At 37.7% G+C, this 27,353-nt stretch overlaps 1 protein-coding gene across 15 annotated transcripts in view, besides 2 other annotated features; it reads left to right on the forward strand.

Moving 5' to 3' along the window:
- The window catches only part of PRKACB (protein kinase cAMP-activated catalytic subunit beta), a 160,420-nt gene extending 135,886 nt beyond the window's left edge, over window positions 1-24,534 (forward strand). For all 15 annotated transcript variants that reach the window (NM_002731.4, NM_182948.4, XM_047424681.1 and 12 more), the window contains 2 exons: window positions 189-353; window positions 21,216-24,534. In NM_002731.4, coding sequence (NP_002722.1) covers window positions 189-353; window positions 21,216-21,341 — 291 coding nt within the window. In that variant the 3' untranslated portion in view covers window positions 21,342-24,534. The remainder of the gene's footprint in view (window positions 1-188; window positions 354-21,215) is intronic.
- Window positions 10,200-11,001: an enhancer, noted in NCBI's record as "H3K27ac-H3K4me1 hESC enhancer chr1:84689847-84690648 (GRCh37/hg19 assembly coordinates)". NCBI's record gives its function as "activates a minimal SCP1, AML or CMV promoter by ChIP-STARR-seq in naive and primed H9 embryonic stem cells {active_cell/tissue: H9 hESC(naive and primed)}" and the evidence as "EXISTENCE:reporter gene assay evidence [ECO:0000049][PMID:30033119]".
- Window positions 11,002-11,801: an enhancer, noted in NCBI's record as "H3K27ac-H3K4me1 hESC enhancer chr1:84690649-84691448 (GRCh37/hg19 assembly coordinates)". NCBI's record gives its function as "activates a minimal SCP1, AML or CMV promoter by ChIP-STARR-seq in primed H9 embryonic stem cells {active_cell/tissue: H9 hESC(primed)}" and the evidence as "EXISTENCE:reporter gene assay evidence [ECO:0000049][PMID:30033119]".

The raw sequence follows: 27,353 nt of genomic DNA on the forward strand, positions 1-27,353 counted from the left end.
CCAAGTAATTCTCTTCTTTATGGCTACTGTGGGGACTGTAACATGTAGTTAAAAGTATGTGAAGGTCATCGCTCCATATTTTTGTTTATATAATGGCTTGTTGCCTTGAAAAAAAAACTTTATGAAATCAAAACAGAAATATCATGAGTCTTAGAATGTGTGTTTTACCAAATGGTGTGTTTGTGTAGGTCCGATTCCCATCCCACTTCAGTTCAGATCTCAAGGACCTTCTACGGAACCTGCTGCAGGTGGATTTGACCAAGAGATTTGGAAATCTAAAGAATGGTGTCAGTGATATAAAAACTCACAAGTGGTTTGCCACGACAGATTGGATTGCTATTTACCAGAGGAAGGTGAGACTTTCTTTTTTAATTTAAAAGCTTTTTTAAAGTTGGTGTTTAAATTATATGTGGTGGAGATATTTTCAACTTAACACATAGTTTTAATTTTTTTACCTTTTGAATTAATCTTGTGCAGGATCTAAAGTACTTTACAGCCCATAACTTAAAAATGAGTTTCCCCCTAGAATTTTTTTTTTTTTTTTTTGAGGTGGAGTCTCACTCTGTAGTCCACGCTGGAGTGCAGTGGCACAATCTCTGCTCACTGCAACCTCCGCCACCTCAGTTCAAGTGATTCTCCTGCTTCAGCCTCTCGAGTAGCTGGGACTATGGGTGCATGCCATCACATCTGGATGATTTTTTTGTATTTTTAGTAGAGACAGGGTTTCACTATGTTGGCTAGGCTGGTCTTGAACTCCTGACCTCAAGTGATCTGCCCACCTCGGCCTCCCAAAGAGCTGGGATTACAGGCATGAGTCATCACACCTGGCCTTACCTAGCTTAAAAAGAAAGCATATATGCTATTTTGACCATCAACCTGAAATGTTTCCTTTGTTAAATTTTTCCTATCTATGCTTGTTACGCTTCACAAAACTGTGGAAATTATATATTAGACAATGTCCTAAGGGTTTTCAAAACTGATGTGAAGCCACATTAGGAAGATATATAAATAAATGTAGTTGCCCATCCAGAATTGGCATGTGCCAGATATATAATAACATTAAATTGCTAGTTTCATTCCTTGTTAGTCTTCATTTTCACCTTCTTGTGGCATATTGGTCTCTCTTTAGAGATACAGCTTTCCTTTATCCATTTGAAAGCTAATTTGAACATAATTCATACAAATTAGGGGTTTTAATTCATGCATTTTTGGAAGGTCAAAGCAAATTATCTGAAGTTACTACTTTTTTCCTTTTAACAATTATTTATTCACGTAAGATTTTTTCCAAATAGTTATCAGGTCCCTGCTTGTATGTTAGGTATTCTGCAAGGTGCTGAGAATACAATGATGAGCAAAACCAACCTTTATTCCTGCCCATATGAAGCTTATACTTCCAGGGGACAGGGAGATTAGTCAGATGGTCGTATAAATAAATGTAAAAGTACTATACTGTGAGAAATGTGGAAATTCAGAATAACTTTGCACCTGAGTTTTTGAGATTTGTTTTGTTTGGTCTTTTGTTTGACTCTTTGCTCGCTAAAGGGATTCTTAGAGTTAGAAATTCAGGCAACTTGAAGACTTGAATATAAGTATAGATCAAGTTAATCGCTGGCATTATTATACCACCATAATAAAATAGAGAAGAAACCCCAGCTAAACTGTAGCATATTTAAAAGAAACTAGTATTTTGTTTTGTTTTGTTTTTTGCTACACAAGTTGCCAGTATGACAGTTGTGGTAACAGTACTATATTAATTGATAGCAGTTATCATTTCACTTTTGTAATAATTTGAGACATTTAAGAAAAGATTTTGCTGCACTGAATTACCTTTATCTCTCATTTTGCTTCTTACATGCTTAAAGATGATTTGCATGAATAAAGTGTTTTCATTTTGAATATATTTAATTTTTTTCTTCTTTTTTTTCATAAAACCAAAACTTCTAATGTTTTAGAGACATGTCATCTTTAATAATGCTGTGCAACTACATGATTGAGTTTCCTTAAGGAAAAAAAAATTTAATGCTCTAATTAAGTATTAAAAGCACAGTTTTTCTAATTTATATATTTTACAAATGATTACAGTAACAAGCTGGGTGCCCTGGCTCACACCTGAAATCCTAACACTTTGGGAGGCCAAGGTGGGTGGATTGCTTGAGTCTCACTCAAGAGTTTGAGACCAGCCTGGCAAACATGGCAAAACCCCGTCTCTACAAAAAATACAAAAATTATCTGGGTATGATGGCTCATCCCTGTAATCCGAGCTACTTGGGAGACTGAGGCAGGAAGATCACTTGAGCCTGGGAGATTGGGGCTACGGTGAGCTGTGATTATGCCACTGCACTCCAGCCTGGGTGACAGAACAAGACCCCGTCTCAAAGAAATAAATAAATAAATAAAGATTACAAAAACAAAACAATTAAAGAATTTTAAAATGCAGCAAAAAGAACATATAGCCAGACCAAAACAATGTGAATGCAATACAGCCTATCTCACAAGAGGGATCCAGAAACTCTCTGTTAAGTTCATGAATCATGGCTGTCAGCATTATTATCGCAAATAGATATGTTATATAGTCAATAACAAGATTGATAGCACTTTAAAATAGATTTAGATCTCATAAAAAACTTTATTTTTTATATTTTTTCTAAATTTGCTAACACCAATGCAATACTGTATAATTAATAAAAGCAACTCCCTATAACTTCTCTTTTCAGTCTTCAAAATAATCCTGTGAAATAAGTGATACCATTTTCCCCATTTTACTGATGTGGAAATCAGCTCAGAGAGGTTAATTAATTTAAACATAATCATGCAGCTGCTAAATAATACCTATATTTGATCCCAGGTTCTTCAGATTCTCAATTCCAGGTCACATTATCCCTTTAAAGTCCTTTTGACATGATTCTTAAAATGAAACTCCAAACCACTAAACAATAAATTGTTTCACAAGATTTTCATGAATTTTACGTGTATCATCTTCTTAACTTTTATGCTTTGAGCATTTTGGGAGTAGGAAGACTCTGTCTCAAAAGGCAGCAAAAAAAGAGAATGAACTGTGGTGTTAGGTAGACATTGATCTGAATCCCTGATCAACCAATCATTAGCAGTATGATCATGAACAAACGATTTAACCTCTCTAAAGCATCAGTTTTATCACCCTTAAAATTTGAATTTGGATAGAGAATACAAAAGGAAGAGCAGTTTGGTGAGAAAGATTAGATGGATTGGCCCAGGCTCCATTTTCCTTTCTGGTTGAGATATGTTTCATATACTTATAACCAGGTAATTTATTAAGCAAATGAATTTGAAATTATCATAATTCCACCATCCAAATAGAACCTAGTATTTGATATATGTCTTTTTACTTTTTTTTTCCCTGTGCCCTTCATCACTGCAGTTCAGTCCTATGATCTCAGTAGCCAATTAAAATCTACCTCCTCCAACCCTGCACTTTACCATTTCCTTCAGTCTCTTATCTCACAGTTGCTACATACTACATAATTACATCTGAGTGACTTACTGCCATATTATACAATTGTTTTAAAACAGGCCAGGTGCAGTGGCTCACACCTGTAATCCCATCAATTTAGGAGTCCACAGTGGGAAGATCACTTGAGCCAAGAGTTCAAGACTAGATGGGCAACATAGTGAGACATCATCTCTTCAGAAAATAAAAAAGAATTAGCCAGGTGTGGTAACACACACTTGGTCCCAGCTACCCTGGAGGCTGAGGCAGGAGGATCACTTAAGCCCAAGAGGTCAAGGCTGCAGTGAGCCATGATCATGCCACTGCACTCCAGCCTGGGCTACAGAGCTGAGACCCTGTCTCTGAAAGAAGAAAAAAACCCTACTCCACAATAAGTGTATCTATCGAACTTCTATTTTCTTTTAGTGCTTTCTGAACTCTAACTTATTTTTTGTTGTTGTAATTAACCAGTTGTCCCCTCCATATTTATTGAATAATTCTTATTTGGCCTCTTATTTGAAATTCTACCTTTACTAATATTAAATTAATATATACATCTGTCTATTTCTGAACTTTTTAAATTTTTATTGCTGCATACTATTTTTATATATTCATGAAGTACATGTTATATTTTAATATATGCGTAGTATGTGTAGTGATCAAAGCTGGGTATTTAGCATATCCACTACCTTGATCGTTTATTGTTTCTTTGTGTTGGGAACATTTCAAATTTTCTGTTCCAGTTACTTTGAAATATATAATATATTGTTGTGAAATATACAATATAACCAGCCTGCTGTGCTATGAAATGCTAGAACTTATTCCTTCTGTCTAACTGTATGTTTGTTCTCAGTACCTTAGTTCTCTTCATCCCTTCCCCCACACACACACATCCTTCTCAGCCTCTGGTAGCTGTCATTCTATACGTTACCTCTAAGAGATCAACTTTTTTAGGTTCCACATGTAAGTAAGAACATGTGATATTGTCTTTCTGTGCCTGGCTGATTTCACTTTACAGAATGATCTGTTTCTATCCATGTTGCTACAAATGACAAGATTTCATTCTTTTTTTTACAGCCAAATAGTATTCCTATATATATTACATTTTCTGTACCCATTCATGTGTTGAAGGACACTTAGGTTGATTCCATATCTTTGCTATTATGCATAGTGCTGCAATAAACATGAGGATTCAGGTATTGCATTGATATACTGATTTCCTTTGGATTAATGGAATTGCTAAATTGTATGATAGTTCTATTTTTAGATTTTTGAAAAATCTCTGTACTATTTTCCATAGTAGCTGTACTAACTTACATTTTTACCAACAGTGTATAAGAATTCCCTTTTCTCCACATCCCCTCCAGCACTTGGTGTTTTTTGCCTTTTTGATAATAGCCATTCCACCTGGGTACGATGATATCTCACTGTGGTTTTGATTTGCATTTCCCTGATGATTAATGGTGTTGAGCATTTTTTCATGTACCTGTTGGCCATTGTAAATCTGGTTTTGAGAAATGTGTACACATATCCTTTACCCATTTTAATTAGATTGTTTATTTTTGGCTACTGAATTATTGGAGTTCCTTGTATATTCTGCATATTAGTCCCTTCTTGGATGAATAGTTTGCAAATATTTTTTTCTCCCATTCAACAGGTTGTCTCTTTACTCTTTTGAATGTCTCCTTTGCTCTGCAAAAGCTTTTAATTTAATATAGCCCAATGTGCCTATTTTTGTTTTTGTTGCTTGTACTTTTCAGGACTTAGCCATAAAATCTTTTTTGTTTGTTTATTAGGTTTTTTTTTTTTTTGAGTTGGAGTTTCGCTCTTGTTGCCCAGGCTAGAGTGCAACGGTACAATCTCGGCTCGCTGCACCCTCCACCTCCCAGGTTCAAGTGATTCTTCTGCCTCAGCCTCCTGAGTAGCTGGGATTACAGGTGCCCACAACCACACCCAGCTAATTTTTGTATTTTTAGTAAAGACAGAGTTTCACCATGTTGGTCAGGCTGGTCTCGAACTCCTGACCTGCCTCAGCCTCCCAAAGTGCTGGGATTACAGGCGTGAGCCACCATGCCCCACCCATAAAATCTTTGACTAGACCAATGTTCTAGAGCATTTCCCGTATGTTTTCTTCTAGTATTGTTATGGTTTGGGGCCTTATTTTTAAGTACTTAATTCATTTTGAGTGATTTGGGGATATGGTGAGAGAGAGGGATCTAGTTTCAGTCTTCTGCATATGGATATCCAGTTTTTCCGCACCATGTATTGAAGAGAGTGTCCTTTCCCCACTGTATGTTCTTGATGCCTTTGTCAAAAATCACTTAGGTGTAATATGTGGATTTATTTATGGGTTCTCTATTCTGTTCCATGGGTCTCTGTGTCTGTTTTTATACCACTACCATGCTGTTTTAGTTACTATAGCTTTATAGTATATTTTGAAGTCAGGTAGTGTGATGCCTCCAGCATTGCTCTTTTTGCTCTGGATTCCTTTGGCTATTCAGGCTCTTTTGTGGTTCCATACAAATTTTAGGATTTTTTTTTCTATTTCTGTGAAGACTATCATTGGTATTTTGATAGGAATTGCATTGAATCTGTAAATTTATTTGCATAGTTGATCATTTTAATATATTTATTTTTCTGATTCATGACCATGACCATGGGATGTCTTTCCATTTGTTTCTGTCCTTTTTAATTTCTTTCATCAGTGTTTTGTAGTTTTTCTTGTAGAGGTCTTTCACCTTCTTGGTCAAATTTATTCCTAGGTATTTTATTTATTTTTTTGTAGCTATTATAAATGGAATTATATTACTGATTTCTTTCTTAGCTTGATCATTATTGGTGTATCGAAATGTCACTGATTTTTTATGTTCATTTTGTATTCTGCACCTTTACTTATTTTTTTATGAGTTCTAAGAATATTCTGGTGGAGTCTATATGTAAGATTATGTCATCTGAAAGGAGGGGCATTGTATTTAGATGCCTTGCATTTAGATGCCTTGTATTTCTTTCTCTTCCCTGATTAATCTGGCTAGGACTTCCATTACTATGTTGAATAGGAGTGGTGAAAGTGGACATCCTTGTCTTGGTCCAATTCTTAGAGGAAAGGCTTTCAACTTTTCCTCATTCAGTATGTTAGCTGTGAGTTTGTCATATATGACCTTTATTATGTTGAGTAATGCCTCTTCTATGCCTAATTTGTTGAGAGTTTTTGTCAGGAGGGGATGTTGGCTTTTATCTAATGCTTTTTTCTGCATCTATTGAGATGATCATATGATTTTTGTTGTTCATTCTACTAAAGTGATGTATCGTGTTAATTGATTTGCATATATTGACCCATCCTTGCATCCCTGGGATAAATCCCACTTGATCATGTTGTATTATATATTTGTTGTGTTGTTGGATTTTTGTTAGCTAGTGTTTTGTTAAAAATTTTTGTGTCTGTATTTCTCAGAGATGTTGGTCTGTAGTGTTCTTTTTTTGTTGTGTGCTTGTCTGGTTTTGTATCAGAGTACTGCTGGCCTCGTAGAATAAGTTAGGAAGAATTCTCTCTTCTTTAATTTTTTGGAATAGTTTGAGATGAATTGATGCTAGTTCTTCTTTATAAGGTTGATAGAATTGAGCAGTAAAGCCATGCAGCCCTGGGCTTTTCTTTAATGTTTGATGGGAATCTTTTTATTACATATTCAATCTGTTCCCCATTATTGGTCTGTTCAGATTTTCTGTTTCTATCTGGTTCAGTCTTTGTAGGTTGTATGTGTCCAAGAATTTATCTATTTCCTCTAGGTTTTCCAGTTAGTTAGCATATAGTTGTTCATGATAGTCTCCAGTGATCTCCTGTATTTCTGTGGTGTCAGTTGTAAAATATTTTTCTTTTCTGATTTTGTTAACTTGGATCTTCTCTCTTTTTTTCTTGGTTAGTCTAGCTAGCAGTTTATCAATTTTGGTTATTTTTTTAAAAAAAAAACCTTTCATTTTTATGATCCTTTGTATGTTTTTTCTCTATTTCATTTAGTTGTGCTCTGATTTTTATTATTTCTTTCCTTCTACTAATTTTGTTTGGTTTGTTCTTGCTTTTCTAGTTCCTTGAGGTACGTTATTAGGTTATTTGAAATCTTTATACTTTTTGGTGTTTATTGCTATAAACCTCCCCTTAGCACTGCTTTTCTTATATTCCATAGGTTTTGGTATATTGTGTTTTCATTTTTCTTTGCTTTAAGATTGTTTTTATTTCTTTCTTAATTTCTTCATTAGCCCAATAGTCATTCGGGAGCATATTGTTTCATTTCCATCTATTTGTACAGTTTCCAAAGTGCTTCTTGTTACTGATTTCTAGTTTTTCCCATCAGGATCTGAGAAAATCTTGATATGATTTCAAGTTTTTAAAATTTGTTGAGACTTGTTTTGTGGCCTAATATAAATGGTCTATCCTGGAGAATGTTCCATGTGCTTATTAGAAGAATGTGTATTCTGCAACTATTGGATAAAATGTTGTGTAAATGTCTCCTAGGTACATTTTGTCTACAGTGCAGTTTATGTCCAATTTTTTTGGTTGATTCTCTCTCTCAATAATCTGTACAATGCTGAGAATGGAGTGTTGAAGTCCTGAACTATTATTGTATTGGAGTCTGTCTCTCTCTTTAGATCTAATAATATTTGCTTTCTATATCTGTGTGCTCTAGTATTGGATGCATATATATCCGTTATATCCTTTTGCTGAATTCATCCCTTTATCATTATATTATGACCTTCTTTGTCTCATTTTACTGTTTTGACTTAAAGTTTCCTTTATCTGATATAAATTTAGATACTCCTGCTTGTTTTTGTTTTCCATTTGTATGAAATCTTTTTCTGTCTCTTCACTTTCAGTCTATCTGTGTGTTTACAGGTGAAGTGAGGTTTTTTGTAAGCAGCATATAGTTAGATCATGTTATGTTTATATATTCAGACAGTCCATATCTTTTAAGTAGATATCTGATTTATTTACATTTAAAGTTATTATTGATAGGTGAGGACTTATTCCTATCATTTAAAAATTGTTTTCTGGTTGCTTTGTATATCCTTCATTCCTTTCTTTCTCTCTAATTGTTTATCATTATAGTTTGGTGGTTTTCTGTAATGGTAATATTTGAGTCCTTTCTCTTTCTCATTTATGTGTCTGCCCTACCAGTGACTTTTATACTTTCTTGTTTTCATGATGGTAAATATCATTGTTTCACTTCCAGATGTAGGACTACCTTAAGCATTTCCTGTAGGGCTGCTGTAATAGTGGTAATTCCCTCAGTTTTTGCTTATCTGGGAAAGACTTTTTTTCTCCTTCATTTTTGAAGAAAGGTTTCTTGGTTAGTCTAGTAGTTTATCGTTGGTGGCAGGGTTTGTTTTTTTCCTTTTAGCACTGTGAATATATCATCCAATTCTCTCCTGGCCTGCAGGGTCTCCCCTGAGAAATCCACGTTAGTCTGATGGAGGTTCCCTTATATGTGACTTGATGCTTTTCTCTTGCTGTTTTTAGATGTCTGTCTTGTCTTTGACTTTTGACAGTTTCAGTAAAGTGTGTCTTGGAAAAGACCTTTTTGGATTGTATCTATTTGATGTTTGAGCTTCCTGTATCTGGATTTCTAAATCTCTTAAAAGAACTAGGAAGTTTTCAACTATTATTAAATTAAATGAGTTTTTCTATGTCATTACCCATCACTTTACCTTCTGGAAAACCCCAAATTTGAATATTTCGTTGCTTTAAGGTGTCCCCTATGTCATGTATGCTTTGTTCATTAATTTTTATTTTTTATTCTTTTTTGGTGGGTCTGTCTGAATTATTTCAGAAGACCTGTCCTCAATTCTTCTCCCTGATATAGTCTATTGACAAAGCTCTCAGTTGTATTTTTCATTTCATTCATTGAATTCTTCAGTTCTGGGATGGATCTGTTTGGTTGTTTTTTTTTGTTTTTTTGTTTTTTTTGAAATGGTGTCTCGCTCTGTCGCCCAGGCAAGAGTGCAGTGGCGTGATCTCAACTCACTGCAAGCTCCACCTCCTGGGTTCACGCCATTCTCCTGCCTCAGCCTCCTGAGTAGCTGGGACGACAGGCACCCGCCACCATGCCCCGGCTAATTTTTTGTATTTTTAGTAGAGACAGGGTTTCACCATGTTAGCCAGGATGGTCTCGATCTCCTGACCTCATGATCCACCCACCTTGGCCTCCCAAAGTGCTGGGATTACAAGCGTGAGCCACCATGCCCGGCCTGTTTGGTTCTTTTTTATGCTATCTCTCTGTTGAATTTCTCACTCATATCCTGAATTGTTTTCCTGATGTCTTTGTATTGTTTGTCTGTGTTCTCTTATATCTCACTGAGCTTCTTTAATATCATTAGTTTGAATTCTTTTTCAGACATTTCATCATTTTTTGTTTAATTGGAATCTGTTGGTGGAGAATTATGTTCTTTTGGAGGTGTCATGTTTCTTTGCTTTTTCATGTTTCTTGTATACTTACATTGACATCTCCACATCTGGTGTAACAGTCATTTCCTCCAGTTTTTAGGATTGGCTTTTGTAGGGTAAGACTTTTTTCTGTGGATGTATTATCATGTTGGTTTGTTGGGCAGTTTAGCTTTTATTCTGGGTGCATGCAGTAGTGTAGTCTCTATGATTTCTTCAGCTGTAATTAGCCTCAGTGGGTGTCTGCGATTTCCTCAGTGGCTTAGGCCGCATTATTGGTGTAGCCTGTGGTGAGGCTTTGCTGGGGACAGGGACACCAGGCATCCTGATCCTCAGGCCCCAGTGGTGGTAGCAGCAGGCCAAGCATACCTGCCCCTGGTGGCCATACACTGGCATCAATTTTAGCAGGTCTGCAAGGGCCAATTCTTAGGCCTCTATGTGGCTTGCTCAGGTACCAGCAGTGGCAGTGGTAGGCTGAGCATATGGATGAGACCTTAGTCTCCTGTGCAGCATGTGTGGCATAAGCGATTGTAATAGTGATGGCAGGCCAACCCTCAGGCTCCCAGGCAGTACACACTGCTGCTAGTGATGGTAGCAACAGATTGGGCAAGCCAGACCCTAAACCCTCAGGTGGCATATGTGGGTAAGCGCCAGCAGTGGTAGTGGTGGCAGACTGGGCAGGCCCAGCCTCAGGCCAGTAGTGGGTGGGGCAGGGCAATCCCCAGGCCCTCAGATGGCATGCTTGAGCATTGGGGTTGCAGTGCCAGGCAGTGCAGGCATTTACTCAGGCCCCTCAATGGTGCACGTGGGCACAGGCTGTGTTGGACCAAGTGAGGCAATCCCCAGACCCTCAAACAATGTGTTTGAGTGCAGGCAGTCAGTGGTTTGGGTCTGTTGTTAGACCCCCTGATGGTGCAGTGCATGCCAGAAGCAGCAAGCAGGGTGGATGGATCCCCAAGCCTCCAGACAGTGCACTCAATCACTGTGGGAGGTGCCACCAGGCAGGGAAGGCCTGTCCCCAGGCTCCTCTGTTGTACCTGTGGGTGCAGGCTGTGGTGAACAGGGCAGTCTTTGGGCCACTGGACAGCATATTTTGATGCCAGTGGCTGATAGCCTGAGTCTTTCGTCATGCTTCTTGATCATATGTATGTGTACCCAGAGTGATAGACAGAGGGGGGCACTCCCCAGGCCTCCCAGGTGGTGTGCTAGGGCACTAGGAGGGGTGGCACTTAAAGGGACAGGCCTGTCCTCAGGCCCCTATTGGTGCACACAGATACAGACTCTGGTAGGCAGGGAAGGACTATTCCTAGGCCCCTGGATAAAATACTTGAGAGGTGGTAGGCAGAGTGAGTCTGTCCTCATGCCCCCAAATAGCATCCAGTTGGGCCAGTTCCCAGGTCCACTGAAGGTGCTGCAAGTACCTGGCAGTCCTGTTGTGGGGGCTGGGCATTGCTATCAGTGGCAGTGGCCCCAGGCAGGAGGCCCTCAGACTCTGGGGAGTGTATGCTTTGGCTTCCGGCCCCAGAAACAGCCTTCCCTAGTGTGCTGCCCTGCTTGTTCTTTGGAGTATAAGACACTGTGTGGGCTCGAGTGCTGGGGACCCAGCCGCACCATTGGGTCCAGCCAGCACTGTACCACTGGAACCCCTTTGATAGACATGGGGCACTGTCAGTTGGGCTCCAGGTGTATAGAGATGCATACTCTCTAATGGTAGTTGGCTTCTCAAAATGGCACTGTGCTTCAGCTTCTTGGGTCCTGGGGGTGGGTGTGGGACCTGGAACAAACTCCCTCTCTGGAACAATGCTATTGTGTGAACTCCAGGCAGGTCCCTATACTTGTCTCAGAATTCACGAGGGTTGTGGGGATCTTACATGGCTAGGATTGCAAGAGTCTGTGGTGGAAATGTGGACCACTGGGGATCTCTCAGTTACCCTTTCCCCATACTGGAGAACCTCTTGTGGCTGCCAGCTGGTCCCAGCTAGGCCAGCTGCTTCACTTCCTTTTGCTTATCTGCCTCAGATGTTCCCTGTCACTTCCCTGCTAAATTTCAGTGTTCTCTCTTAGAGGCTTTATTCAACATGTGATTATCTACTCACTGTTTTGGTCCTTCTTTGTGGAGGAGAGTTCTGAGTCAGCCATCTTGAAGCCCTGACCTTTATTTTTTAGGAGTTCTTTTTGTCTGTTCTTGTACTGTATATGTCACTGCTTTATGTAGCTTTAAAATATTTTAATATTAGATGGGTCCAGTTTCTTCACCCTTGTTTACCCTTTCCAAATGTTCTGTTCTCTTGCCCCATATGCATTATTTTAGAGTCAAGTTAGGTAATTTATATTTCCTAGAAAATCATCCTTATCTCCTGTATGTTTTCTCTTCCTTTTTTGATTAGACTTGCCAATGGTTTGTGGGTTTTTTGTTTTTTTTTTTGGTCTCTCTAAAGATTTATTGAATTTGGGGATTAACAGTAAAGTTGCATATTAGGAGAGAACCTGAATCTTGAGAATTTACCATTATGAACATGTTGCTTCTGCATTTACTCAAATATCTTTCGTCATTCAGTAAAGTTTTAGAGAACCCCCCTTCCTCCATATAGGAAGGAATTTATGTCTTAAAATTATTGCTTAAATTTATATTTTGGTTGCTATTATTAATGTGTTTGCTTTCCCGTTATAGTAGGATATGGGCAAAACATCATTTTTATGTTTATATTATAATTGACCATGTTACTAAATTCTGTTATTGATTTCCACATTTTTCAGTGATTCCTTTGGATTTTTATTGACAATCATAGGAGATTGGCATATCATTTTGTCTGTTCCTTTTCAGTATTTACATCTCATTTCCATTTTTGTTTTAGTACATATATTAGAATGTCTAAAACAATATTTTAATGCAGTAGGGCCCTTGAGCTTTCTTGTCTTGTTCCTGCTTTGAATGGAAGTGCCCAAGAATATACTTTCAGGGATCATTTCTATAATTTGTTGCCTTTCATGTTTTACCACCAAATATAAAGTTGGCCATTTGGCTGAGATAGGTATTCTTTATGAGGTTAACAAAACATTGTTGATTTCTAATACACTGTATTTTATCTTTTTTGACATGTTAGTGTGATGAATTATATGAGGGAGACATCCTCACTTTCCTGGAATGAATACCATTAATCATGGGGTATTAACATTTTAATATTTGCCTGAAATCTATTTGCCAAAATTTTATTTAGGGTTTTTACTTCTGTAGTCATAAGTTTTATTAGTCTACAGTTTCTGTTTTTTTGAAGTTGGGATTATATGGGATTCATAAAATGAGTTTAGAAAGTTTCCAGGCTTTTATTCTGCAGAAAATTTAGGAACATAGAGTCATCTTATATCTATTCCTTATAAATTTTAACAGACTAATTCTTGGGTATTGGTCTCTTCAAGTTTTTACTTTTTGACTCAATTTAAGAAATTTATATTTCCAATAAAATCATCCATTTCCCTTTCTAATTATCATTGCTTATATTATCTTTATTGTTGTATTTATTGTTAATTAATGCTATTTCGAGGTATATTCTTTAGATTGCCTTGAGGCTTGTCAACTTTATTAGTATGCTAAAGATTTATGGTGTATTTGAATCTTTTCATATTTATATTTAGAAATAAAATCTTCTGCCAAATAGCAGTCATTTACTTATCTATTCCTATTATGTGTTTAATTTTTAATAATTATTCCTAAAAGGGGATAGAACAGGAAGGCCACTACTCATTTAAAGTGTATGTGCTTTTCAGAGGGCTTGACTTATCCCAGGTAGTAAACAGGTAACCTACCAACAAGTGGCACACTGTAACATACAGATTGTAGTAATGGACAAATTGATTGACAGCCAAATCTTGAATTATCAATGAAACAGATGTAAGGATCCATGGACAATTTACAAATAAAAATAGCAGAGTACTTTAACCATTTGTTTTAATATCTTCTCAAGTATTATAACTATGCACAGCAGTGCAAAAATCATAGTAAATATGAATAGTTTTAATTGTCTTCTTTATTCTCTGATGCATCTCCAAATGATCAAGGAAAAAAAAAGGCAGAAGAAAGAAGTAGCCTGAACAACTCAAACTGTACAATCATTTTCTACACATGATTGCCCCAATAGGTTTGTTATTCTAAATTGCTGGCTGGCTAGACGTGAAGCAACTGTCTGCTTAGCTCATTCTTCTGGGTAGTGCAAAACAGCAGTCCCCAAAGCAGGGCGTGCAAGGCAACCAGCTCTCAAACAAAAAGATAATATTAGAAGTCCCATTCCTACTTATTTTTACCTTATTCTTTTTCAATACCTTATTTGTGTGTGTATCTTATAATAGTATAGTCATACATCTAAATAAATTGTAAGTAAATAACTATATATATGTTGATTATGTGTACTAGAAAATGTTTTAATGAAAGGGATATAAATTAAAAACCCTTGGAGAGCTCTGGGCCAGAAGTGGAGAATCATGAATATGAAACCTGCTTTAGCCGCTTATCAGTCATGTGAATTTGGTCAATCGACTCTTTTATAATCTGTAAAATGGGAGTAAGAACACCAGTCCTTCCTTCCTCACAGTGTTGTACTGAGAACAGAATAAAGCAACTGTAATTGTTTGTAAATTCTATAAAGGCTGTGCAGATTATGATTTTTTTTTTTTAGCTTTTAAAATCTTTTCCTCAAATGTATTCAGTACCCACATTTAATCTTTATAGAAGACCATATTCGAAGTAGTGGGAAGACATTTTACTTTTAGGATCAAAGGAGAAAAATGTTTAAGGTTTAACAATTCTCTAATTCTAAAAGAGTTATATTTCTTTCCAAACTCTCAGAAAGTTTTGATGGCCAGATATTTTAAACAAAATAAACTTGGGAATTAAAAAAGGAAAGCAATTAAAAGTAAGTCTGAGATTTAGCTGTAACTTGAGGAGAAAAGAATTTTTACAAGAGGGATAGGAAAAGATAAGGTCTTAAAAACAAGGAACTAAAAATTAAGACTGAAGTTTTGTAACCTTAGGAGCCAGGATTTTGATGCCAACAGTTAATTATCCCAGAAATTTCTTTTTTTTTTTATTATTATACTTTACGTTTTAGGGTACATGTGCACAATGTGCAGGTTAGTTACATATGTATACATGTGCCATGCTGGTGCGCTGCACCCACTAACTCGTCATCTAGCATTAGGTATATCTCCCAATGCTATCCCTCCCCCCTCCCCCCACCCCGTAACAGTCCCCAGAGTATGATGTTCCCCTTCCTGTGTCCATGTGTTCTCATTGTTCAGTTCCCACCTATGAGTGAGAATATGCAGTGTTTGGTTTTTTGTTCTTGCGATAGTTTACTGAGAATGATGATTTCCAATTTCATCCATGTCCCTACGAAGGACATGAACTCATCATTTTTTATGGCTGCATAGTATTCCATGGTGTATATGTGCCACATTTTCTTAATTCAGTCTATCTTTGTTGGACATTTGGGTTGGTTCCAAGTCTTTGCTATTGTGAATAATGCCGCAATAAACATACGTGTGCATGTGTCTTTATAGCAGCATGATTTATAGTCCTTTGGGTATATACCCAGTAATGGGATGGCTGGGTCAAATGGTATTTCTAGTTCTAGATCCCTGAGGAATCGCCACACTGACTTCCACAATGGTTGAACTAGTTTACAGTCCCACCAACAGTGTAAAAGTGTTCCTATTTCTCCACATCCTCTCCAGCACCTGTTATTTCCTGACTTTTTAATGTTTGCCATTCTAACTGGTGTGAGATGATATCTCATTGTGGTTTTGATTTGCATTTCTCTGATGGCCAGTGATGGTGAGCATTTTTTCATGTGTTTTTTGGCTGCATAAATGTCTTCTTTTGAGAAGTGTCTGTTCATGTCCTTTGCCCACTTTTTGATGGGGTTGTTTATTTTTTTCTTGTAAATTTGTTTGAGTTCATTGTAGATTCTGGATATTAGCCCTTTGTCAGATGAGTAGGTTGCAAGAATTTTCTCCCATTTTGTAGGTTGCCTGTTCACTCTGATGGTAGTTTCTTTTGATGTGCAGAAGCTCTTTAGTTTAATTAGATCCCATTTGTCAATTTTGGCTTTTGTTGCCATTGCTTTTGGTGTTTTAGACATGAAGTCCTTGCCCATGCCTATGTCCTGAATGGTAATGCCTAGGTTTTCTTCTAGGGTTTTTATGGTTTTAGGTCTAACGTTTAAGTCTTTAACCCATCTTGAATTGATTTTTGTATAAGGTGTAAGGAAGGGATCCAGTTTCAGCTTTCCACATATGGCTAGCCAGTTTTCCCAGCACCATTTATTAAATAGGGAATCCTTTCCCCATTGCTTGTTTTTCTCAGGTTTGTCAAAGATCAGATAGTTGTAGATATGTGGCATTATTTCTGAGGGCTCTGTTCTGTTCCATTGATCTATATCTCTGTTTTGGTACCAGTAACATGCTGTGTTGGTTACTGTAGCCATGTAGTATAGTTTGAAGTCAGGTAGTGAGATGCCTCCAGCTTTGTTCTTTTGGCTTAGGATTGATTTGGCGATGCGGGCTCTTTTTTGGTTCCATATGAACTTTAAAGTAGTTTTTCCAATTCTGTGAAGAAAGTCATTGGTAGCTTGATGGGGATGGCATTGAATCTATAAATTACCTTGGGCAGTATGGCCATTTTCATGATACTGATTCTTCCTACCCATGAGCATGGAATGTTCTTCCATTTGTTTGTATCTTCTTTTATTTCCTTGAGCAGTGGTTTGTAGTTCTCCTTGAAGAGGTCCTTCACATCCCTTGTAAGTTGGATTCCTAGGTATTTTATTCTCTTTGAAGCAATTGTGAATGGGAGTTCACTCATGATTTGGCTCTCTGTTTGTCTGTTGTTGGTGTATAAGAATGCCTGTGATTTTTGTACATTGATTTTGTATCCTGAGACTTTGCTGAAGTTGCTTATCAGCTTAAGGAGATTTTGGGCTGAGACAATGGGGTTTTCTAGATATACAATCATGTCTGCAAACAGGGACAATTTGACTTCCTCTTTTCCTAATTGAATACCCTTTATTTCCTTCTCCTGCCTAATTGCCCTGGCCAGAACTTCCAACACTATGTTGAATAGGAGTGGTGAGAGAGGGCATCCCTGTCTTGTGCCAGTTTTCAAAGGGAATGCTTCCAGTTTTTGCCCATTCAGTATGATATTGGCTGTGGGTTTGTCATAGATAGCTCTTATTATTTTGAAATACGTCCCATCAATACCTAATTTATTGAGAGTTTTTAGCGTGTTGAATTTTGTCAAAGGCCTTTTCTGCATCTATTGAGATAATCATGTGGTTTTTTCTTTGGTTCTGTTTATATGCTGGATTACATTTATTGATTTCCATATATTGAACCAGCCTTGCATCCCAGGGATGAAGCCCACTTGATCATGGTGGATAAGCTTTTGGATGTGCTGCTGGATTTGGTTTGCCAGTATTTTATTGAGGATTTTTGCATCAATGTTCATCAAGGATATTGGACTAAAATTCTCTTTTTTGGTTGTGTCTCTGCCTGGCTTTGGTATCAGGATGATGCTGGCCTCATAAAATGAGTTAGGGAGGATTCCCTCTTTTTCTATTGATTGGAATAGTTTCAGAAGGAATGGTACCAATTCATCCTTGTACCTCTGGTAGAATTCGGCTGTGAATCCATCTGGTCCTGGACTCTTTTTGGTTGGTAAGCTATTGATTATTGCCACAATTTCAGATCCTGTTATTGGTCTATTCAGAGATTCAACTTCTTCCTGGTTTAGTCTTCAGAGAGTGTATGTGTCGAGGAATTTATCCATTTCTTCTAGATTTTCTAGTTTATTTGCGTAGAGGTGTTTGTAGTATTCTCTGATGGTAGTTTGTATTTCTGTGGGATTGGTGGTGATATCCCCTTTATCATTTTTTATTGCGTCTATTTGATTCTTCTCTCTTTTTTCTTTATTAGTCTTGCTAGCAGTCTATCAATTTTGTTGATCCTTTCAAAAAACCAGCTCCTGGATTCATTAATTTTTTGAAGGGTTTTTTGTGTCTCTATTTCCTTCAGTTCTGCTCTGATTTTAGTTATTTCTTGCCTTCTGCTAGCTTTTGAATGTGTTTGCTCTTGCTTTTCTAGTTCTTTTAATTGTGATGTTAGGGTGTCAATTTTGGATCTTTCCTGCTTTCTCTTGTGGGCATTTAGTGCCATAAATTTCCCTCCACACACTGCTTTGAATGTGTCCCAGAGATTCTGGTATGTTGTGTGTTTGCTCTCGTTGGTTTCAAAGAACATCTTTATTTCTGCCTTCATTTCGTTATGTACCCAGTAGTCATTCAGGAGCAGGTTGTTCAGTTTCCATGTAGTTGAGCGGTTTTGAGTGAGATTCTTAATCCTGAGTTCTAGTTTGATTGCACTGTGGTCTGAGAGATAGTTTGTTATAATTTCTGTTCTTTTACATTTGCTGAGGAGAGCTTTACTTCCAACTCTGTGGTCAATATTGGAATAGGTGTGGTGTGGTGCTGAAAAAAATGTATATTCTGTTGATTTGGGGTAGAGAGTTCTGTAGATGTCTATTAGGTCCACTTGGTGCAGAGCTGAGTTCAATTCCTTGTTGACTTTCTGTCTCATTGATCTGTCTAATGTTGACAGTGGGGTGTTAAAGTCTCCCATTATTAATGTGTGGGAGTCTAAGTCTTTTTGTAGGTCACTCAGGACTTGCTTTATGAATCTGGGTGCTCCTGTATTGGGTGCATATATATTTAGGATAGTTAGCTCTTCTTGTTGAATTGATCCCTTTACCATTATGTAATGGCCTTTTTTGACTCTTTTGATCTTTGTTGGTTTAAAGTCTGTTTTATCAGAGACTAGGATTGCAACCCCTGCCTTTTTTTGTTTTCCATTTGCTTGGTAGATCTTCCTCCATCCTTTTATTTTGAGCCTATGTGTGTCTCTGCATGTGAGATGGGTTTCCTGAATACAGCATACTGATGGGTCTTGACTCTTTATCCAATTTGCCAAGTCTGTGTCTTTTAATTGGAGAATTTAGTCCATTTACATTTAAAGTTAATATTGTTATGTGTGAATTTGATCCTGTCATTATGATGTTAGCTTGTTATTTTGCTCGTTAGTTGATGCAGTTTCTTCATAGTCTCGATGGTCTTTACATTTTGGCATGATTTTGCAGCAACTGGTACCGGTTGTTCCTTTCCATGTTTAGCACTTCCTTCAGGAGCTCTTTTAGGGCAGGCCTGGTGGTGACAAAGTCTCTCAACATTTGCTTGTCTGTAAAGTATTTTATTTCTCCTTCACTTATGAAGCTTAGTTTGGCTGGATATGAGATTCTGGGTTGAAAATTCTCTTCTTTAAGAATGTTGAATATTGGCACCCACTCTCTTCTGGCTTGTAGAGTTTCTGCCGAGAGATCCGCTGTTAGTCTGATGGGCTTCCCTTTGAGGGTAACCTGACCTTTCTCTCTGGCTGCCCTTAACATTTTTTCCTTCATTTCAACTTTGGTGAATCTGACAATTATGTGTCTTGGAGTTGCTCTTCTCGAGGAGTATCTTTGTGGCGTTCTCTGTATTTCCTGAATCTGAATGTTGGCCTGCCTTGCTAGATTGGGGAAGTTCTCCTGGATAATATCCTGCAGAGTGTTTTCCAACTTGGTTCCATTCTCCCCATCACTTTCAGGTACACCAATCAGACGTAGATTTGGTCTTTTCACATAGTCCCATATTTCTTGGAGGCTTTGCTCGTTTCTTTTTATTCTTTTTTCTCTAAACTTCCCTTCTCGCTTCATTTCATTCATTTCATCTTCCATTGCTGATACCCTTTCTTCCAGTTGATCGCATCGGCTCCTGAGGCTTCTGCATTCTTCACGTAGTTCTCGAGCCTTGGTTTTCAGCTCCATCAGCTCCTTTAAGCACTTCTCTGTATTGGTTATTCTAGTTATACATTCTTCTAAATTTTTTTCAAAGTTTTCAACTTCTTTGCCTTTGGTTTGAATGTCCTCCCGTAGCTCAGAGTAATTTGATCGTCTGAAGCCTTCTTCTCTCAGCTCGTCAAAGTCATTCTCCGTCCAGCTTTGTTCCGTTGCTGGTGAGGAACTGCGTTCCTTTGGAGGAGGAGAGGCGCTCTGCTTTTTAGAGTTTCCAGTTTTTCTGCTCTGTTTTTTCCCCATCTTTGTGGTTTTATCTACTTTTGGTCTTTGATGATGGTGATGTACAGATGGGTTTTTGGTGTGGATGTCCTTTCTGTTTGTTAGTTTTCCTTCTAACAGACAGGACCCTCAGCTGCAGGTCTGTTGGAGTACCTGGCCCTATGAGGTGTCAGTGTTCCCCTGCTGGGGGGTGCCTCCCAGTTAGGCTGCTCAGGGGTCAGGGGTCAGGGACCCACTTGAGGAAGCAGTCTGCCCGTTCTCAGATCTCCAGCTGTGTGCTGGGAGAACCACTGCTCTCTTCAAAGCTGTCAGACAGGGACATTTAAGTCTGCAGAGGTTACTGCTGTCTTTTTGTTTGTCTGTGCCCTGCCCCCAGAGGTGGAGCTTACAGAGGCAGGCAGGCCTCCTTGAGCTGTGGTGGGCTCCACCCAGTTCGAGCTTCCCAGCTGCTTTGTTTACCTAAGCAAGCCTGGGCAATGGCGGGCGCCCCTCCCCCAGCCTCACTGCCACCTTGCAGTTTGATCTCAGACTGCTGTGCTAGCAATCAGCGAGACTCCGTGGGCGTAGGTCCCTCCAAGCCAGGTGCAGGATATAATCTCCTGGTGCGCCGTTTTTTAAGCCCGTGGGAAAAGCGCAGTATTCGGGTGGGAGTGACCTGATTTTCCAGGTGCCGTCTGTCACCCCTTTCTTTGACTAGGAAAGGGAACTCCCTGACCCCTTGCGCTTCCTGAGTGAGGCAATGCCTTGCCCTGCTTCGGCTCGCACACGGTGCGTGCACCCACTGACCTGCGCCCACTGTCTGGCACTCCCTAGTGAGATGAACCTGGTACCTCAGATGGAAATGCAGAAATCACCCGTCTTCTGTGTCCCTCACGCTGGGAGCTGTAGACCGTACCTGTTCCTATTCGGCCATCTTGGCTTCTCCTCTTATCCCAGAAATTTCTTAAGTATTTTGTTGACCTGCATACTTCCTTGAATCAAAATGTTGAGGTTAATAGCTAACCTACTGCTTGCTGCTTCTTCTAGCACTATTATATTTTAGGAACCTAATGGCATCTAAGGATTTCACCGTGTAATAACAGTGGGAATTTATTTTTCTTGGTGTTTGGAAACTCTCAGGAATTTTTTTTTCCTTTTTCTTATTTTTCTCTCCCTCTCAATTATAGGTTGAAGCTCCATTCATACCAAAGTTTAGAGGCTCTGGAGATACCAGCAACTTTGATGACTATGAAGAAGAAGATATCCGTGTCTCTATAACAGAAAAATGTGCAAAAGAATTTGGTGAATTTTAAAGAGGAACAAGATGACATCTGAGCTCACACTCAGTGTTTGCACTCTGTTGAGAGATAAGGTAGAGCTGAGACCGTCCTTGTTGAAGCAGTTACCTAGTTCCTTCATTCCAACGACTGAGTGAGGTCTTTATTGCCATCATCCCGTGTGCGCACTCTGCATCCACCTATGTAACAAGGCACCGCTAAGCAAGCATTGTCTGTGCCATAACACAGTACTAGACCACTTTCTTACTTCTCTTTGGGTTGTCTTTCTCCTCTCCTATATCCATTTCTTCCTTTTCCAATTTCATTGGTTTTCTCTAAACAGTGCTCCATTTTATTTTGTTGGTGTTTCAGATGGGCAGTGTTATGGCTACGTGATATTTGAAGGGAAGGATAAGTGTTGCTTTCAGTAGTTATTGCCAATATTGTTGTTGGTCAATGGCTTGAAGATAAACTTTCTAATAATTATTATTTCTTTGAGTAGCTCAGACTTGGTTTTGCCAAAACTCTTGGTAATTTTTGAAGATAGACTGTCTTATCACCAAGGAAATTTATACAAATTAAGACTAACTTTCTTGGAATTCACTATTCTGGCAATAAATTTTGGTAGACTAATACAGTACAGCTAGACCCAGAAATTTGGAAGGCTGTAGATCAGAGGTTCTAGTTCCCTTTCCCTCCTTTTATATCCTCCTCTCCTTGAGTAATGAAGTGACCAGCCTGTGTAGTGTGACAAACGTGTCTCATTCAGCAGGAAAAACTAATGATATGGATCATCACCCAGATTCTCTCACTTGGTACCAGCATTTCTGTAGGTATTAGAGAAGAGTTCTAAGTTTTCTAAACCTTAACTGTTCCTTAAGGATTTTAGCCAGTATTTTAATAGAACATGATTAATGAAAGTGACAAATTTTAAATTTTCTCTAATAGTCCTCATCATAAACTTTTTAAAGGAAAATAAGCAAACTAAAAAGAACATTGGTTTAGATAAATACTTATACTTTGCAAAGTCAAAAATGGCTTGATTTTTGGAAACAATATAGAGGTATTCATATTTAAATGAGGGTTTACATTTGTTTTGTTTTGTAACCGTTAAAAAGAAGTTGTTTCCAGCTAATTATTGTGGTGTACTATATTTGTGAGCCTAGGGTAGGGGCACTGCTGCAACTTCTGCTTTCATCCCATGCCTCATCAATGAGGAAAGGGAACAAAGTGTATAAAACTGCCACAATTGTATTTTAATTTTGAGGTATGATATTTTCAGATATTTCATAATTTCTAACCTCTGTTCTCTCAGTAAACAGAATGTCTGATCGATCATGCAGATACAATGTTGGTATTTGAGAGGTTAGTTTTTTTCCTACACTTTTTTTTGCCAACTGACTTAACAACATTGCTGTCAGGTGGAAATTTCAAGCACTTTTGCACATTTAGTTCAGTGTTTGTTGAGAATCCATGGCTTAACCCACTTGTTTTGCTATTTTTTTCTTTGCTTTTAATTTTCCCCATCTGATTTTATCTCTGCGTTTCAGTGACCTACCTTAAAACAACACACGAGAAGAGTTAAACTGGGTTCATTTTAATGATCAATTTACCTGCATATAAAATTTATTTTTAATCAAGCTGATCTTAATGTATATAATCATTCTATTTGCTTTATTATCGGTGCAGGTAGGTCATTAACACCACTTCTTTTCATCTGTACCACACCCTGGTGAAACCTTTGAAGACATAAAAAAAACCTGTCTGAGATGTTCTTTCTACCAATCTATATGTCTTTCGGTTATCAAGTGTTTCTGCATGGTAATGTCATGTAAATGCTGATATTGATTTCACTGGTCCATCTATATTTAAAACGTGCAAGAAAAAAATAAAATACTCTGCTCTAGCAAGTTTTGTGTAACAAAGGCATATCGTCATGTTAATAAATTTAAAACATCATTCGTATAAAATATTTTAATTTTCTTGTATTTCATTTAGACCCAAGAACATGCTGACCAATGTGTTCTATATGTAAACTACAAATTCTATGGTAGCTTTGTTGTATATTATTGTAAAATTATTTTAATAAGTCATGGGGATGACAATTTGATTATTACAATTTAGTTTTCAGTAATCAAAAAGATTTCTATGAATTCTAAAAAATATTTTTTTCTATGAAATTACTAGTGCCCAGCTGTAGAATCTACCTTAGGTAGATGATCCCTAGACATACGTTGGTTTTGAGGGCTATTCAGCCATTCCATTTTACTCTCTATTTAAAGGCCGTGAGCAAGCTTGTCATGAGCAAATATGTCAAGGGAGTCAATTTCTGACCAATCAAGTACACTAAATTAGAATATTTTTAAAGTATGTAACATTCCCAGTTTCAGCCACAATTTAGCCAAGAATAAGATAAAAACTTGAATAAGAAGTAAGTAGCATAAATCAGTATTTAACCTAAAATTACATATTTGAAACAGAAGATATTATGTTATGCTCAGTAAATAATTAAGAGATGGCATTGTGTAAGAAGGAGCCCTAGACTGAAAGTCAAGACATCTGAATTTCAGGCTGGAAAACTATCAGTATGATCTCAGCCTCAGTTCTCTTGTCTGTAAAATGGAAGAACTGGATTAGGCAGTTTGTAAGATTCCTCCTAACTTTCACAGTCGATGACAAGATTGTCTTTTTATCTGATATTTTGAAGGGTATATTGCTTTGAAGTAAGTCTCAATAAGGCAATATATTTTAGGGCATCTTTCTTCTTATCTCTGACAGTGTTCTTAAAATTATTTGAATATCATAAGAGCCTTGGTGTCTGTCCTAATTCCTTTCTCACTCACCGATGCTGAATACCCAGTTGAATCAAACTGTCAACCTACCAAAAACGATATTGTGGCTTATGGGTATTGCTGTCTCATTCTTGGTATATTCTTGTGTTAACTGCCCATTGGCCTGAAAATACTCATTGTAAGCCTGAAAAAAAAAATCTTTCCCACTGTTTTTTCTGCTTGTTGTAAGAATCAAATGAAATAATGTATGTGAAAGCACCTTGTAAACTGTAACCTATCAATGTAAAATGTTAAGGTGTGTTGTTATTTCATTAATTACTTCTTTGTTTAGAATGGAATTTCCTATGCACTACTGTAGCTAGGAAATGCTGAAAACAACTGTGTTTTTTAATTAATCAATAACTGCAAAATTAAAGTACCTTCAATGGATAAGACAATTGATTGAGTCGTGAATTCTACTTGGTGCCCTCATCTCCTGATTTATTTTCCGCTGATACAAGAGATGCTTATAGATTCCTAGTTTTTATGTGTTTGGGTTGATTTCTGGGTGGTGGGAGCAGAGCACATTGGGGAGGAATATATCCGCCAGTCTACTCACACTGGATGTTTACTAAGAAACTGCTAGATTCATTTAATAGTTTCTCAAAAGTGTTTCTACTTCTTTCTCATTTCTCATATTGGTTCAGATTACTGCTAACATAATGTTCTAAATATTCATATTTAAAGGATTTGATTCTTCAAGAGCACTCATCCTTCTATTGTAACAATGAAATATTAATTTCTAATTTTTTCTTCAGGAGTGTTTTTGAGCTTCACATTACCTCTTTTCATTTTAGACAGGTTAATTAGTGTGTATTTCCATAGTTGTCTTTTACCTCAAGAAATAATCATTTCTTTAGGTAATTATTTTAATGGCTTGCCATTTTGTATGATTGTTCTTGCAAACATTTCTATTTATGCATTTTATAACATGGAGCTTACTATTTTTATACCAGTGCTCGCTTCATTTTATCATTATCAGGGCTTAATATAAATGCAGTTTTCTCATTTCCTTGTAAAACTAATTACAAAAATCTAGGTATGTCTTTACTGAAGAACTATCATCATTTGAAATCTATTTAGCTGTAAATTTTCTCTTGTGCACAAATACTGGATGTGAAGTTAAGTACTTTTCATTTAAGCTTTCCTGAAGATTTTCCATATGCTTATTTAATAGCCTTTATGCCTGTTGTTATGACCTGGATTGTGAACTGTGAACAAAATTCATACTGAAATTCTAACCACTAGTACCTCAGCATGTGATTGTTTTAGGAGGTAAGGCCTTTGAAGAGGTAATTAAAGTAAAATGAGGTCATATGGGAAGACTTCATCCAAGATGACTGATGTCCTCATAAGAAGCACACAGACAAAGGGAGGACCACGTAAAGACATAGGAAGAAGATGACCATCTATAGGGCAAGGACAGAGGCCTCCAAAGAAGCTGACTTTGCCAACATCTTGACTTGGGACTTCTAGACTCAAGAATTGTGAAAAATAAATTTCAGTTGTTTAAGCTGCCCAGTCTGTGATACTTCATCATGGCAGCCATAACAAACTATAATACACCCGCTGAGCTAAGTATTCTCATGGTGAAAGACTTGCATTGATTTCCCTTCATATGCTTTATACGTGGGCAAAACTGAATTTACCACAGGCAAAAAAAAAAATCAGTGTGGTCACAAACCTCAGTGCACCTGCTATCTTGTTTCTATTCTTCCTGGAATACAAGCAGGAAGTAGGAAACAGTAGCCACTGAGATACTGGGAGTAAGGGAAGGCATGAGTAACTCAAACCACTACTACTTCCAGGTCAGACTTACCCATGGAAGGATAGCCCTTCTCTCAAAGCAGTGCTAATATAACATAAAATTAAGCACACCAGATTCATTGAGTTTACAGTCTCTGCTCATCTTTTAGTGGTGATACTAACAATGAAATGGCCAAAAGGAAAGTGGGAGTGCAAATAAAGGGTTAATGAGAATACCCCAGCTGGTTCTTCCTCTCCTGATTATCAGAGGTTAGTAATGCTCACAGCAAATGATGACCTTAATGTATTAGTTTTCTACTGCTGCTCTAACAAGTCTCCACAAACTTAGTAGCTTAAAACAACATAAATTTATTTTCTTACAGTTCAGGAGTTCTAACAACCAAAATAAGCCACACTGGGTTAAAATCAGGGTGTTGGCAAGCATGCATTTCTTTCTGTAGGCTCTAGGGAAGAAGCCATTTCCACATCTCTTCCACCTTCTAGAGGCCACCTGCTTTCCTTGACTCATGATGCCATTCCTCCATCTTCAAAGCCAGAAACATTGGGCCAAGTCCTTCTCATGCCGCATCACTCTCCGCATCACTCTCACTTTCTCTTCTGCCTCCCTGTTTCACTTTTAAAGACCCTTGTGATAATATTAGACCCACCTCAGTAATCCAAGTTAATCTCCCTATTTTATCTATTTATTATTTTTAAAAATTTATTTTTTATTTCAATAGGTTTTTGGGGAACAGGTGGTGTTTAGTTACACGAATAAGTTCTTTAGTGGTGATTTCTGAGATTTTGGTGCCCTCATCACCCAAGCGGTGTACACTGTACCCAGTGTGTAGTCTTTTATCCCTCACACCCCTCCCACCCTTTTCCCCGAGTCCCCAAAATCTATTGTATCACTCTTATGCCTTTGTGTCCTCATAGCTTAGCTCCCAATTGTGAATGAGAACATATGATGTTTGGTTTTCTATTCCTGAGTTACTTCACTTAGAATAATAGTCTCCAATCCCATACAGGTTGCTGCAAATGCCATTAATTCATTCTTTTTTATGGCTGAGCAGTATTCCATGGTGTATATAAACCACATTTTCTTTATCTACTCATTCATTTTTGGGCATTTGGGCTGGTTCTGTGTTTTTGCAATTGCGAATTGTGCTGCTGTAAACATGCATGTGCAAGTATCTTTTTCATATGACTTCTTTTCCTCTGGGTAGATACCCAGGAATGGGATTGCTGGATCAAATGGTAGATCTACTTTGAGTTCTTTAAGGAATCTCCGCACTGTTTTTCATAGTGGTTGTACTAGTTTACATTCCCACCAACAGTGTAAAAGTGTTCCCTTTTCACCGCATCCACGCCAACATCTATTTTTTTTTTTCCATTATGGCCATTCTTGCAGGAGTGAGGTGGCATTGCATTGTGGTTTTGATTTGATTTCCCTGATAATTAATGATGTTGA

This window comes from Homo sapiens, chromosome 1 (genome assembly GCF_000001405.40).
Source record: "Homo sapiens chromosome 1, GRCh38.p14 Primary Assembly".
Taxonomy (NCBI): domain Eukaryota; kingdom Metazoa; phylum Chordata; class Mammalia; order Primates; family Hominidae; genus Homo; species Homo sapiens.